This window comes from Homo sapiens, chromosome 21 (genome assembly GCF_000001405.40).
Source record: "Homo sapiens chromosome 21, GRCh38.p14 Primary Assembly".
Taxonomy (NCBI): Eukaryota; Metazoa; Chordata; class Mammalia; order Primates; family Hominidae; genus Homo; species Homo sapiens.
In genome coordinates, this window is record NC_000021.9 from 38,285,935 (window position 1) to 38,299,135 (window position 13,201).

Consider the following 13,201-nt stretch of genomic DNA (forward strand, 5'->3'; position numbering starts at 1 on the left):
ATATTAACTGTAAAAATCCACCTTCCTGGCTGGGCGCGGTGGTTCATGCCTGTAATCCCAGCACTTTGGGAGGCCGAGGCGGGCGGATCACGAGGTCAGGAGATTGAGACCATCCTGGCTAACACGGTGAAACCTCGTCTCTACTAAAAATACAAAATATTAGCTGGGCGTGGTGGCGGGTGCCTGTAGTCCCAGCTACTTGGGAGGCTGAGGCAGAAGAATGGCATGAACCTGGGAGGCGGAGCTTGTAGTGAGCTGAGATCATGCCACTGCACTCCAGCCCAGGTGACAGAGCGAGACTCCGTCTCAAACAAAAAAACAAAAACAAAAACAAACAAACAAACAAAAATCCACCTTCCTACTTCCGAGAAGTGCTACAGTAAGGCTATGAAGACCAAGCATTATGTATGTATCTGAGCTGTTTTCTGTTATTTCCCCCTCTGTTTTTATGTCAGAAGAAACTGTACCATTACTTCTAGAGTAGAAGATGTTGGAATGTCTCCTCATTGGTCTTACTGTTCCAATCACGTGAGCACCAATGTAATGTTCATTACTAACATTAGTGCCTGCAAGAATATCCTACTGGAAAGGGAATTAGCTGTGATTTTGTTAAGTGTCCAGCCAATTTTCATAAAAGACACAGTATCTGAGATGGCTGTTAAACATGTCAAGAGATTGTGTACGAGGGGAATAAATCAAGGAAGACTCTATAGGTTGGTCTGATTCTGTGATATTACCAGAATTACTGGTAATATCTACAGCATTTAGAAACTTCATCCACAGTCAGATTTAATCCCAGGGCTATGAAGCCTGGAGAATATATGGGTAGAACTCAGGAGAATCCACGATCTCACATGAGGAGAAAAGAACAGCAGTTTATTTTAGATGGCCTCTAACTAAAATTTGTATTGAGTGTGTGCAGCAAACCACAGATGTACTAGCTGCAACTGTGACTTTGTCATAGTGGAAATCACAGACATTTCAATATCACATTCCAGTCATTTCAGAGACCTTGAAATAACATTGCTGCTCACCACACCTTCAAAACATTAGCTCTGATTTAATGCTTGGAAAAGTATAATTTTGTTTTTTCAGTACTGTAATAGGTGCATTTTAATATCATTGGTGTCTTCTGTAATCTTTGTGACTTTACTTTTATCTGTTTAAACACTTTATTCTGAGAAGGCAGGCATGTGTCTCACTAGTCCACCAAAAAAGACCATAACATAAAATGTTAAGAGCCCCTGAGCTAATATCTTAAAAATGAGACAAACTTCTTAGCTTTTCTGACACCTCTGGTAAGCCATGCATGAAAAGGCTGCACCCCCATCCCGCAGTGGTTAGATTTGTTTTCAGAGTTTTTAGTACTGGGAAAATCTGGATTGTTTTTTTTCTTCTAAGAAGGATGGCTTTACGTTAAACCCTGTCTTTAAGTTTCTTGGCCTTAGGAATGACTCTTGAGCATAAGTTTGCTTTTCCCTAGGGATGCCAGATTTAGCAGATTTAGCAAATACAAATGTAAGGCCACTCTGTACTATGCAAATCTATAGATACATATATGTAAATAGTACATATGTATCTCTGAATTTCAAATAAACAATGAATAATTTTAGTATAAGCATATAGCAAATATAGCATGTGACAGGCTTATACTAAATTATTTGCTGTCCATCTGAAATTCAAATTCAACTGGGCATCTTGTATTTTATCTGGCAACTCTAAAAACACCAAATTTGGGCCAATAGTCCTCCGGCTAATTAACTACAGATGGTTAGAATGTGTTTTCTTACACTGTACAGTGATGGAAATTAGTTAACTGCCAAATGTCTTAATTTTTGATTGAATGTGAAGATATTTTTAAGTTTGAAATTTTGTATTATCATTCAGTGATCACAGAGTCTGCTTTCAACTTTGGGACAAGCAAACAACTGAGAAATACTACCAGTCTTTAAAGCAAATTTTGGTATAAACTGTGTTCCACTGCGATACAGTTTCTATATCAGAGAAATGTGGTCAAAATGTAGACTGATAGTGAGACAGAATTTCAAAACTTTTTGACATTTGTCCCATTGTTAAATAACTTGTTTTTTTCTTTGTTTTTTTTTTTTTTTTTTTTTTTTTTTTGAGATGGAGTCTCACTCTGTTGCCCAGGCTGGAGTGCAGTGGTGCTATCTCAGCTCACTGCAAGCTCCACTTCCCGGGTTCACGCCATTCTCCTGCCTCAGCCTCCCGAGCAGCTGGGACTACAGGCACCTGCCACCACGCCCGGCTAATTTTCTGTATTTTTTAGTAGAGACAGGGTTTCACCGTGTTAGCCAGGATGGTCTCGATCTCCTGACCTTGTGATCCGCCTGCCTCGGCGTCCCAAAGTGCTGGGATTACAGGCATGAGCCACCGCGCCCAGCCATAATTTGGTTTTAAATCAAGCACAAGTCGTAATTTCCATTGCCTGGGATGAGATTCATGCTAATAACTAATATGAATGCCAATGAAGATAAGAATTTTACCTTTGCATGCAGGTGAATTACATCAGAGCCCATTAGTCATCAATTTGTAGAGACTGACAACTCCACATTTATTTCAAATAAAAGAAAATGTAGTAGTCAGCATGAGGCCAGAAAACAAGCCAGCCTGAAATTGTTACCCATATTTATAAAACATACTTTCTATGTTTCCGTGCCTTCATCGTAGTGCAAAATATTATAAATGTGAGGCAAAGAAAGATAAATGTGAGTGGTAAAAATTGGCAGACTCAACATCTTAGTGAGAGAGATAGATTTACTTAAGGGAAAGTCAGTTTGGAAGTATTGTAAATTATATAATGATATGGCATAAAAAGGCATGATCCAGTCTCAAGCATCTTCTTATGTCTCACAGAAACAGGAGTTAAGAAAACCAGCATCACTGCTTACTTCCCACGTGTCATCTCCTGTGAATGCTCCAACCATGTCCACTTTGAAGTTTCATTAAATAAAACACATTAAGCCGGGCGCGGTGGCTCACGCCTGTAATCTCATCACTTTGGGAGGCGGAGGCAGGCAGATCACTTGAGGTCAGGAGTTCGAGAGCCTGGCCAACATGGTTAAACCCCATCTCTATTAAAAATACATAAATTAGCCGGGTATGGTGGTGCATGCCTATAATCCCAGCTCCTCGGGAGGTTGAGGCACGAGAATCATTTGAACCCAGGAGGCTGAGGTTGCAGTGAGCTGAGATCGCACCATTGCACTCTCCAGCCTCGGCAACAGAGCAAGACTGTCTCAAAAAAAAAAAAAAAAAAAAAAGGTCAAATACTTGCTTCTCTACCAGTATTATCTGCAAAAACAGAAGCCTTCCACTCTGATTTATACCACAGTCAGACAAACCCAAACGCTGTGGATTTCCTTCTCCTTAACCAAATGGTACTGTTTTGAGCCATCTTCTCCTCTGTTGTAGGTTTGGACTAATCCAGACAAAAATAGTGAGTGAGATTCCACTAGCCTGTTGAAGAAATCTCTTTCCTAAGGAGAAAATTGGGACCAGGAGCAGTGGCTCACACCTGTAATCCCAGCACTTTGGGAGGTCGAGGCAGGTGGATCACTTGAGGTCAGGAGTTCAAGACCAGCCTGGCCAACATGGTGAAACCCCATCTCTACTAAAAATACAAAAATTAGCTGGGTGTGGTGGTGCACACCTGTAATCCCAGCTACTTAGGAAGCTAAGGAAGGAGAATCGCTTGAATCTGGGAGGCAGGGGTTGCAGGGAGCTGAGATTGTGCCACTCCACTCCAGCCTGGGCGACAGAGACAGACTCCATCTCAAAAAAGAAAAAAAGAAAATTGAGCAGTGCATTACGGAGGCTGACACAGTACAATTCGCCTCCTCACCCCCTCCACACTCACTTCCAGACATCAGTGTTCCTGTTTTGCCAGTCATCTCACAACAATGCATGTCCAAGCCACGCTGTGATTAGAGGGAGAATATGCTTATTACCCAAGTTCTTCGCATGTTGGAGCAGGGAGAGGCCAAGGGTGGTAAACCACAGGAAATTTCCATTTGCCCTCCGCTGCGGCACTCTCACTCTATAGGGAAGTTAGTTGTTATTAGGTAATAATGTTCAGCGGAGGTTGGTCACTCGTAACAACAGACAGATGTGTAATGTTTTATTTGGGTTAGCCAGCTCTCTCACAAATAAAGGGCCTGAAATTAAACTGTCTTTATGAAAATATTCAGTAAATGATACCTCTGGCTTATTCCAGTGCTCAGATTCTTTGCCATGGAAAATGGCAAATGAGTCCCCTGTTGGGCCCGGAATCTGTTTAAACTTGTCTTTGTCGAGTACAGAAGGGTTGATGTTCTATGAGATTAAAAAAAAGTTTTTAAAGAATTCGCATCGAGGAGTAAAGGGAACAACGATGCAAACCACATTTAGAGATGGAAAAGAATTTTTTTTAGTACTTATGGAATTTCAAACAATAATAATGGAACAGAAACATAGGAAAAAAGCTACATATCTGACCACAGAGGCAAATTGCATTATTACATGCTCACATGCAATGCAAATGTGGATTGGTCTGTAAAGGAACACTTTTTGCTTTTCTAATGTATAGTAGGGTGAGAGGAGCACCTCTCCAATTTGCCAAGGCATCACTAGCAAACTCCAGCTACCGAATTGCTTGGGGAAATTGAGTTCTTTTGAAGACAGGTTCTTGGGAACTGTACCCCAAGAACTTCTGGTTAAGTAGCTCAGGTGTGGAGCCTGAGAGCCTGCATTTCTGACGATGGAGATGCTGCGGTTGGATGAGGGGAGAAGGGTCACACTATTCTATACCACCCTGTTTCCAGTAGCCAGTGAGATGGATAACTCATCTCAACATAGAGTGTGACCACGAAGAGAGATACCTACCCGTAAAATGGACTAAGATTCACAAAAGCTTGTTTCCAGCTCTAACCTTGTTACTGGCTCAGTAACCTTGAACAAGTTACTCAAACTTTTTGATCCTTTTATCTCCCTAGATATAAAGTGTAGAGTTTAGACCAGATCAGCACTCCTCAGTGTTCTCAAATGTCATAAAAAGGCTAAACACACACACACACACACACACACACACACGTATATATAGCTACAGTTAAGCAGGTTTTATAACTGTAGGACGTCTCAGAAACTGTAATAAACAAATGTGCAATGTGGCTCTCCAAAGAGTGAAAACAATGGGGTGTCTGGGGGCTCAGCTTCAGCTCCAGTAGGCAAATCCTTCCAAAAGTATTTAACCACAAATTCCTTTATGTGTATGGAACACCTGAATCACACACTTCAGCAAGAGAACCCCTAATGTCCTCCAGCCTTAACTTTCCCATCCTAGAATCTAGGTTCTCCCCACAGTCCTCCAATGTTCCCAGCCAGGCCAATGCTAAAAGCTTCCCTTAATGATACCCATTATCCAAGGAAGAAACCTGAGAGCAATTTTCTACTACCTGTTTGCTTTTTTCCAGCAATTCTCAACTTTTTGCCAAGACATTACACCCGAATTTCTATCCCCAAGGAAACATTTTCTAACTAAAAACTCCACCTGGCCACTGCAGTACTTATATATTTAATCCCAATGACTTTCTCCATTCCTTTGTTTGAAAGTAATGAGACTAAATTTTAGACAATCTAATTTCTTGGCTTATTCATTTTCTCCATATTCCAGATAACTTTTAAGTGGTGAAGAGTATAAATCGTGGTTTTCCAAGTGTAGTCTAAGGTCTAACAGCATCGGGGATATCTGGGAAATTATCAGAACTACAGACCCTCTGGCTGCACCCCAAACCTGCTGAATCGGAAATTCTGAGGTAGGACCCAGTCATTTGCATTTTTATCAACCCCTCCAGGTGATTCTAAAGCACACTGAAGTTAGAGACACAGTGTTGAGATCAGAAGCATGGACTATGGATTCCAACATACCTTGTGCTATATCACAGTTCCTTTGTCTGAAATATGGGAATAATATTAGTACTTACTTCAGAGTCTATGTGAGAATTAAATTAATATATAATACCTAATATCAGGCCTGGCACAGGGTGAGCAATGAGTCAATTAATTACAGCTGCTTAATCTATAATGGATGCTGACGCGTAGTGAGCAGGAACTTAGCTTTGTCACACTGCACCACGAGACTCCTTTGCAAGCTAATGCTGATGATGGTGGTTAGATAGGAGTGCAGCCGTGGGAGCAGACAGAGCTGGTTTGCTCACCAGGTGCTCCATGTATTAGCTTTGTGAATGCATGTAAATTATTTAATTTCTCTAAGCTTAGTTTCGTCACCTAGAAAATAGAGAAAATAATTTCTCCCCAAGGTAAAGAGAGGGATTCAATAAGATAATATCTATAACTGCTTTGAAAAGTGCCTGGACCCTTTTAAGTTGTCCCTTCCCAAATGAAAGCTATCAATGACCTAATGACAGTGGTACCTGGGCGGCCCAGTGTGTCTATGTGATTACAGATCCTGAGGCCACTAGGTCCTTAAACTTGGGCTTCTTGCTCCACAAAATATTAGAATGATAGGATATGATACCCTTACAACTTTCCCTAAAAAGCTATCTTGTCATGATAAATGTAAATATTGACTCAGAAGTAATCAAAAGATAATTAGTCACCTTTTCTATGTTGTTCTTAGGGATAAGGCAAGCCATTCTTGCCATTACAATCTTGTTGAATTTGGGTTCTTTTTGTATTCAGTGTTGAGTCATAGACCAACATTCAGAGTTTACATTAAGACTATTTCACAACTCAGTTGGGTGCAGTGGCTCTCAACTGTAATCCCGGCACTTTGGGAGGCTGAGGTGAGCAGATCACCTGAGGTCAGGAGTTCCAGACCAAGCTGGCCAACATGGTGAAACCCCATCTCTACTAAAAATACAAAAATTAGCCAGGCGTAATGGCGGGTGCCTGTAATCCCAGCTGCTTGGAAGGCTGAGGCAGGAGAGTCGCTTGAACCCAGGAGGCAGAGATTGCAGTGAGCCAAGATTGTGCCACTGCACTCCAGCCTGCGTGACAGAGTGAGATGCTGTCTCAAAAAAAAAAAAAAAAAGGAATATTTCAGAACTTTATATCTTTCCTTTAAATGCAGTACCTTTTAGGTCAGGCATATAATCCTAAGATAAAAAAATATGTATTAATCGTGAAAATGTCTCTGTGGTCAGGTTTCACTAGGTTTTGCCTTGTTAACAACTCTAAGAACTGTGTGGCTTACAGCAACAAGAATTTTTTCTCACCTGTGTTTCAAGTCAGCTGTAGTTGAATTATGGCTCAGTTCCAAGTTTCCTTCTTCCCACTTACCAGAAGGAAGGAACAGCCCAATCCATGACCCACCCACATGCAAGGCAAGCCATGTGATGATCCCGACACCTCTCTTCAGGCATGGTGTGGGTTACTGCTGTTCACACTCCATTGGCCAAAGCAGGTGACAGGGCCACACCTGACACAAGGGAGTAGGAAACACACACCCCACCCCCGCTACGCCCGGGCAGGGAAAGTCCCAGTGAAGGATCCTTTGTGGAAGGACCCAGCCGAGAGGCACAGCAAATAGTTGGGAGCAACATACATCAACCACAACCTCCCAAATTGTCACAGCTCTACCAATAGTTTCCAAGTTCAAACACATCTTCCAAACACAGGTCACTGAGAGGAAACTAGCTTCCAAGTGTGCTGTAATCTCAACTGGTGCTTCCCCTGAAATCCTGATAATTCCCCTGGAGGAGAATGAGTGATTCTTCAGCCTCCAAGGAGCTGTCATTCTTTCTGGGCCATCCTTCAGTCCTCAGTAGTCTAAGGAAAAAGTGCTTTTGCAGAAGGAAAGTAGAATTTCCTCAGGAGATACAAACCGAAGGATTGCCCTCTGGAATCTGCTGAGAATCCACTTTGTCCACCTTGCTTGTTTTCAATGAACATGTCTGTTTCTGAGGCCACTTGGCAAAGCTATCTGTGCCCTTGGCTGGTATGGATGAGTTAAAAGCTGGACTTTGTACAGTCAGACCAGCCTTTAAAGCGGATCCTTCACTGCTGCGTAGTGTAGGGAGGAAAATGGCCCAAGGCCAAGGCCAAAGGTCATGGTGCATGTGCTCCTGTGACCACAGTCGAGGGAGCCCAGGGAGGAGAGCTAAGCCTTTATTCTCAATTGTTTTAAGCCTCCTGAGCTCAGTGAACCCCAAGTAGATTCTTGTCAAGCATTTTTTTTCTACTTAATATTTAAAACGGTGATACTTAAAGTCAAATTTAATCCAGGCATTTTTTATTTCTGGACAAAGAGATCATTGAAAAATTAATTTGTCAGAAATATATGACACGCAAAAAAGCAAAAAGCTTTTTAAGTAACTTTTCTTACAAACAGGAAGCTATGTTTTTTCAGAGCTTAAAAGTGAGATCCACCACAAGTTAATTTTAGTCTAGAAATCCAAAGTTACTATTTGATTTAGATTTCACTCTTTATGCCTCATCACCCTGGTTAAAAGACGTGGAATGAGCTCGCTGAAGGCCTAGTTGAGGAACCCCGGTTCTGGGGAGCCACTGTCTCCCCATTTTTCTGTAAGTGAGAAATGTTTTTTCTAAGGGGCCTTTGCTTTGTTAGTTCACTGTGAAACGCAGAATGAAGTTTTCTCGAGATGGGCAAATTGAAAATCTTCAAAATCTGGCCTAACAGAGCTCTAAGTTTTAAAGACATCAATGTCTTTAAACATTGCCATCATCAACATGGCAATGGGTACTACCCTTCCATTTCCCATTATCCTTGCTGTGTCCCCAACACTGGAAGTGTAGTTCTCCATATAGCTAAGTACCTTTTTCAATGTGCCTTCTGTTCCATTCTGTTTCAGAGTGTGTTTATTTTCTTTCCTTTAACTTCAGAAAACTAATGCTCACAGCATAAGCACTCAGTGACCTCAGACCATTAATCTTTTACTGGTTTGAAGTAGGAGAAAGTAATACTGACCTATCCATTCAATAGTTGTAAGAACTTCACTTAGGTAGATATCGCCATTCTAAAAATTGCAACCCCAACCCACAAACTGAAACGATATAACAAAAACTGCAGAAATAAACATTATTTCCAGAAATTAAAGAAAACTGTTAATGGTTTATATGAAATATTGCTTAGCTGGGAGGATTAACCCTTTTCTCATTTGCCCTGAGAATACTCACTGGCAGCACTTGAGGCTGCAATATTTACCTGGAGATGATTTTGCCACACAGTATATTACTTTTATTATTATTTTCATATCACTCTAGTATATCAACTTTGGAAACAAAAGACAACATTCTATTTAGAGCATTCTGCTTTTAGTAGTGGTATTTTTATTTACAAAATATAGTAATTCTTGATCGCTGAAAATGTCAAATCCTGGAAAACACAGCATTCCTACACATGGTGTTAACATTGGTCTCCAACAGTTGTTGGCCAGAGATTCATTTGATGAATCCAATTTTTCCGAAATAGACAATTCTGATGATTCAGATGATTCTGATGTTAGTTCTGTTTAGAAATAACTCCAAGAACAATTTTTATGTTTTACTTTCACATTGAAAATCAATCAGATTTGCTTCAGCCTCGAAAAGCATGTTTATGTAAAATTAAGTGAGTACTGGTGGCAAGCTGCACTTTTTTTTTTAATGGGAAAAAGGTTAAGATAGGGGAAATTAGAAGAAACTATTCTTCTCTCATTCTTTGTGTTTTTATCTTTTGGAAAACTGTTATTGTTGCTTACCATGTTAGAAGTTAAGCCAGGTCTATTGAAGAATCACTAAGGGAATATAACCTAAGGCAGTAACATAAAATTATATGAAATAAGAGTATGTATCAACACTGATTCAAACTTCATGAAAGAAGTCTGCTGAGGAATAAAATTCTATAAATTAAGAGCCTATGATGAAGTGCAATTCATAAAGCCTATGGGTAAGATTGATGGGCACAAAGAAGATTCTGGGTCTTAATAGAGCAATGACAAAGAGGTCATTTGCCAAACATGCTGTGGCCACACTGGCAGGATCCAGCCTGTAAGAGGATGCACAGGTTAATTGGGAATACTTTAACTATAAGAGAGTAATAACTGTAAATAATTGGCAGATCAGAAGAAACGTAGGAAGTATAAGTGTGCCTGTGTGTGTGTGAGAGACATAAAAATATATGGATGTAGACAGATGGATGATTGATAGATAGATACAGATCATAGATAATTGATAGGTAATAGATCAATAATTGACAGATGATAGATAATATGCAGGTAGATATTTAGACCGGTAATAAATAGATAGATAATTGATAGATAATAGATTGATTGGTGATATATAATAAATGATAGATTAGAGAGATAATTGATAGATAATAGATTGATAGAAGATAGATAATAGATAGGCAGATAGCTTAGGAAGAATTATTTTCAAAAAGTACATGCAAAAGAACCTCTTGAATTTAAAGGAGATTACATGAAACTGTGGATGTTTAAGGGGATTTTGTGGTGGACTGACAGGAACCCTGGGCTAGCTTCCAAAGACTTTGGACCTTGTTCTTTCTGCCAGGACCCAGCTGTGTCAAGTGGGATGGTTCTGACAATCTTTTCCACTCTAATGTCCTATGACTCAACAGTAGCAATGCATTTCCACAGGCGGTAAAAATATTCTAGACTCTTCCCTTCCAGCGCTCACTGTTTACTTCCTCTGCACTTCCCCTTCCTGCCTCCCCGTGTGCCGGTCAGTTCATAGCGGGCCTCAATGAGGGTGGGTTAACCCTCTCTTTCCAGGGTGTTTTGCTACGGAGCTCCCTCCAGGGGCTGGGAACTGTGTGGTGAGGGCTGTGGTTGGGGTTCAGCTTCCTTCTTAAATCGTTCCTTGAACCTTTACCCTATTCTGTGCACTGTGCCGATTTCCAGGGATTGGAAGGTAAATGCCACTGCGTAACTCTTAGAAAATCATCGGGGGTCAGTTTTACTGGGGTGCACTTGGTAACCATCTATGAATCCATGTGTCCCTCTTTCTTTCAGGCAGTAGCAGAATCCCATGGTAGCCAGGTGGGTGAAGGGGAGCGAGGACGTTCTACCTGCCTTGAAGAAGACACCTGACCTGCGGAGTGAGTGACCAGGTAGTAGACGGTTCTGAGGGCATCACACACTTGAGGGAGGGAGGAGGACAGAGAGGGCCATGGCACCCTTTGACTGCTGAGTGCCAGCTGCTCTCTTTCCCACTGAGAAATGCTGCCCCCAACACACCCAGAGGCTCTAGGTCTTGTCCTGTGATTTCTGTCCACCAAGACTTGATAGGAGGTATGATAGATGCCATTAACTCCAGCACTATATACACAGGACTGCAGCAAAAGCGCTCTCAGCAGAAAGAGGAAACAGATACAGTTCATCCCAAGCCTGGCTTGCTGCCCCTTTGAAAGAGAGTTTCAAACAGAAGCTTCATGGTGCTGCCTTCATAAAAACAGGGCCAAGCTTTCCAGAATCTGGCAGAGGGCTGAGTGCCCGCAGGACACTTGTGTATCACTCACACTGGAAAACTTAATCCTCTGTTTTTATTTCAGTGGATTGAATGGCATGCAGTTTCCTCAGCAGCTTAAAAAAAATGCATGCAGTCACTTGCAGACAGGCTGCATTTGTCTCTGCTGGTGCTCATGTTACAAGTTTGTCTGTGCATTTGGGCATGCCAGAATGGCGTTTCATTTCCAAACCTTTATTGTGGTCACTTTCCTCTTCGTTACACTGAGAAGTGTTGCTGAGGGTATAGTAAGGCCCTAGTTCATCAATTATATCCTGTACTTTTCTTCTAACTTGATCCCAAGAACAGTGGAATTTGCTTCAAGGTAAACAAATTTTGAATAATTTATGGCCCTTCTTTTCAACAAAAATGAAAACGTGACTTTCTAAAGAAAAGTCAATTACAAGGGGGCATTTAGTAAATAACACACTCTTAATAAAGTAACAGGAAAATTAAAATGCCCAGCAGACCCATTGCCTCCTGAACAGGTGTTTGCTGCTAATGGATACAGTTTCCATTTCCTTGAAGGGATTTGCCCAGAGGATTACTTTCACAACTTCTATTGAGATAATACTGCTCTAACAGAAAGAGCAATGCATGAATCTGTATATCAGTTCCTTAATAAAAGGGAAGATTTTTTTAGTTCCTAAAATACCAATGAGGTGAAGAAAAACATGCCACCCAGGTAAAGTTACTCTGTAATCACCCGCATTATCTTTTTCAAGGAATGTGGGGGAAATTTATGTCAGTCATCAGGCAGGTACTAGAAGATGCTAGGGGCCTCACAGACAGCTTGTTCCCGGCTGTTAACATGGAGCAGAGCGTTCCCTGGGGCTGAGCATGGGAGCCCAGCACTTCTTATAGGTAGGTCTTTCCTACTATAATATTAGATGCCTACACTTATTGACTTTTTCATTTGCTCTTTAAAATAGATTTCTTCTGCTGGTTCTGCTTAGTTCTAAGGAGTAAGGTAGAATTTTGGTGCCATACCTAAATATCACGTCTAAAATGACATTGGTAGCACTTTTCCAAGAATAACCAGCATATTGATCAAGCCATTAATAAAGCCTAATTATTTGCTTTAAGAATGTTTTTGGTTGTTTCAAACTGAGTTTTTTCCAAAGTCATAACAAAACTAGGAGAGGCTGTAGATTCTTAATTATTCATTAGATTAGGGGGAAAACGAATTGCTATTACAAAGAATATCATGCAAAAAATAGGTTTTAAAAAATGCATTACTACTGAGTTTTAAAAATGTATACTAACATTCTCCATATCAAGAACTGTTTCATGGATGGTAGATTTTAGTTATAGCAGTACTGGACTTACACTCAGTCAAATAATTTTAAATTTTCTATAATTGGGAATACATGGTAGCTGAATATAAGCAAACATATTACTCTATGAAATAAATGCATAAGAGTTTGTTATCACAAAAAACAGCATAACATTATTTTTTTGAAACACAAGGCTCTGTTTTAACACTTTACCTTGTTTAATAGTAACAAAACCCCTGAGGAATAGGTTGTATTGCCATTTTAAACACTGGAGAGCAAAGGTCCAGAGAGGTTAAATAGCTTTCTGCAGGTCACACAGCTGATGAATTGCAGAGTCAGCATTTAACCCCGGTCTGCTTTTCTGCAAAGCCTCTGCTCCTCACTCTACCCTACCGACCACCTAAGTATAGATCAGTTAATCTTGCCTTCAGAATTCTCCT

General features: G+C 40.7%; 1 protein-coding gene across 8 annotated transcripts in view; it reads left to right on the plus strand.

Moving 5' to 3' along the window:
- The window catches only part of KCNJ15 (potassium inwardly rectifying channel subfamily J member 15), a 77,432-nt gene that overhangs the window by 56,009 nt on the left and 8,222 nt on the right, over positions 1-13,201 (plus strand). For 6 of the 8 annotated variants that reach the window (NM_001276439.2, NM_001276437.2, NM_001276438.2 and 3 more), the window contains one exon: positions 10,992-11,089. The gene's annotated coding sequence lies outside the window, so the exon portion shown is untranslated. Of the gene's footprint in view, positions 1-5,671; positions 5,814-10,991; positions 11,090-12,209; positions 12,349-13,201 lie in introns of all 8 variants that reach the window. The other 2 variants (NM_001276436.2, NM_001276435.2) reach the window with 2 other exon arrangements.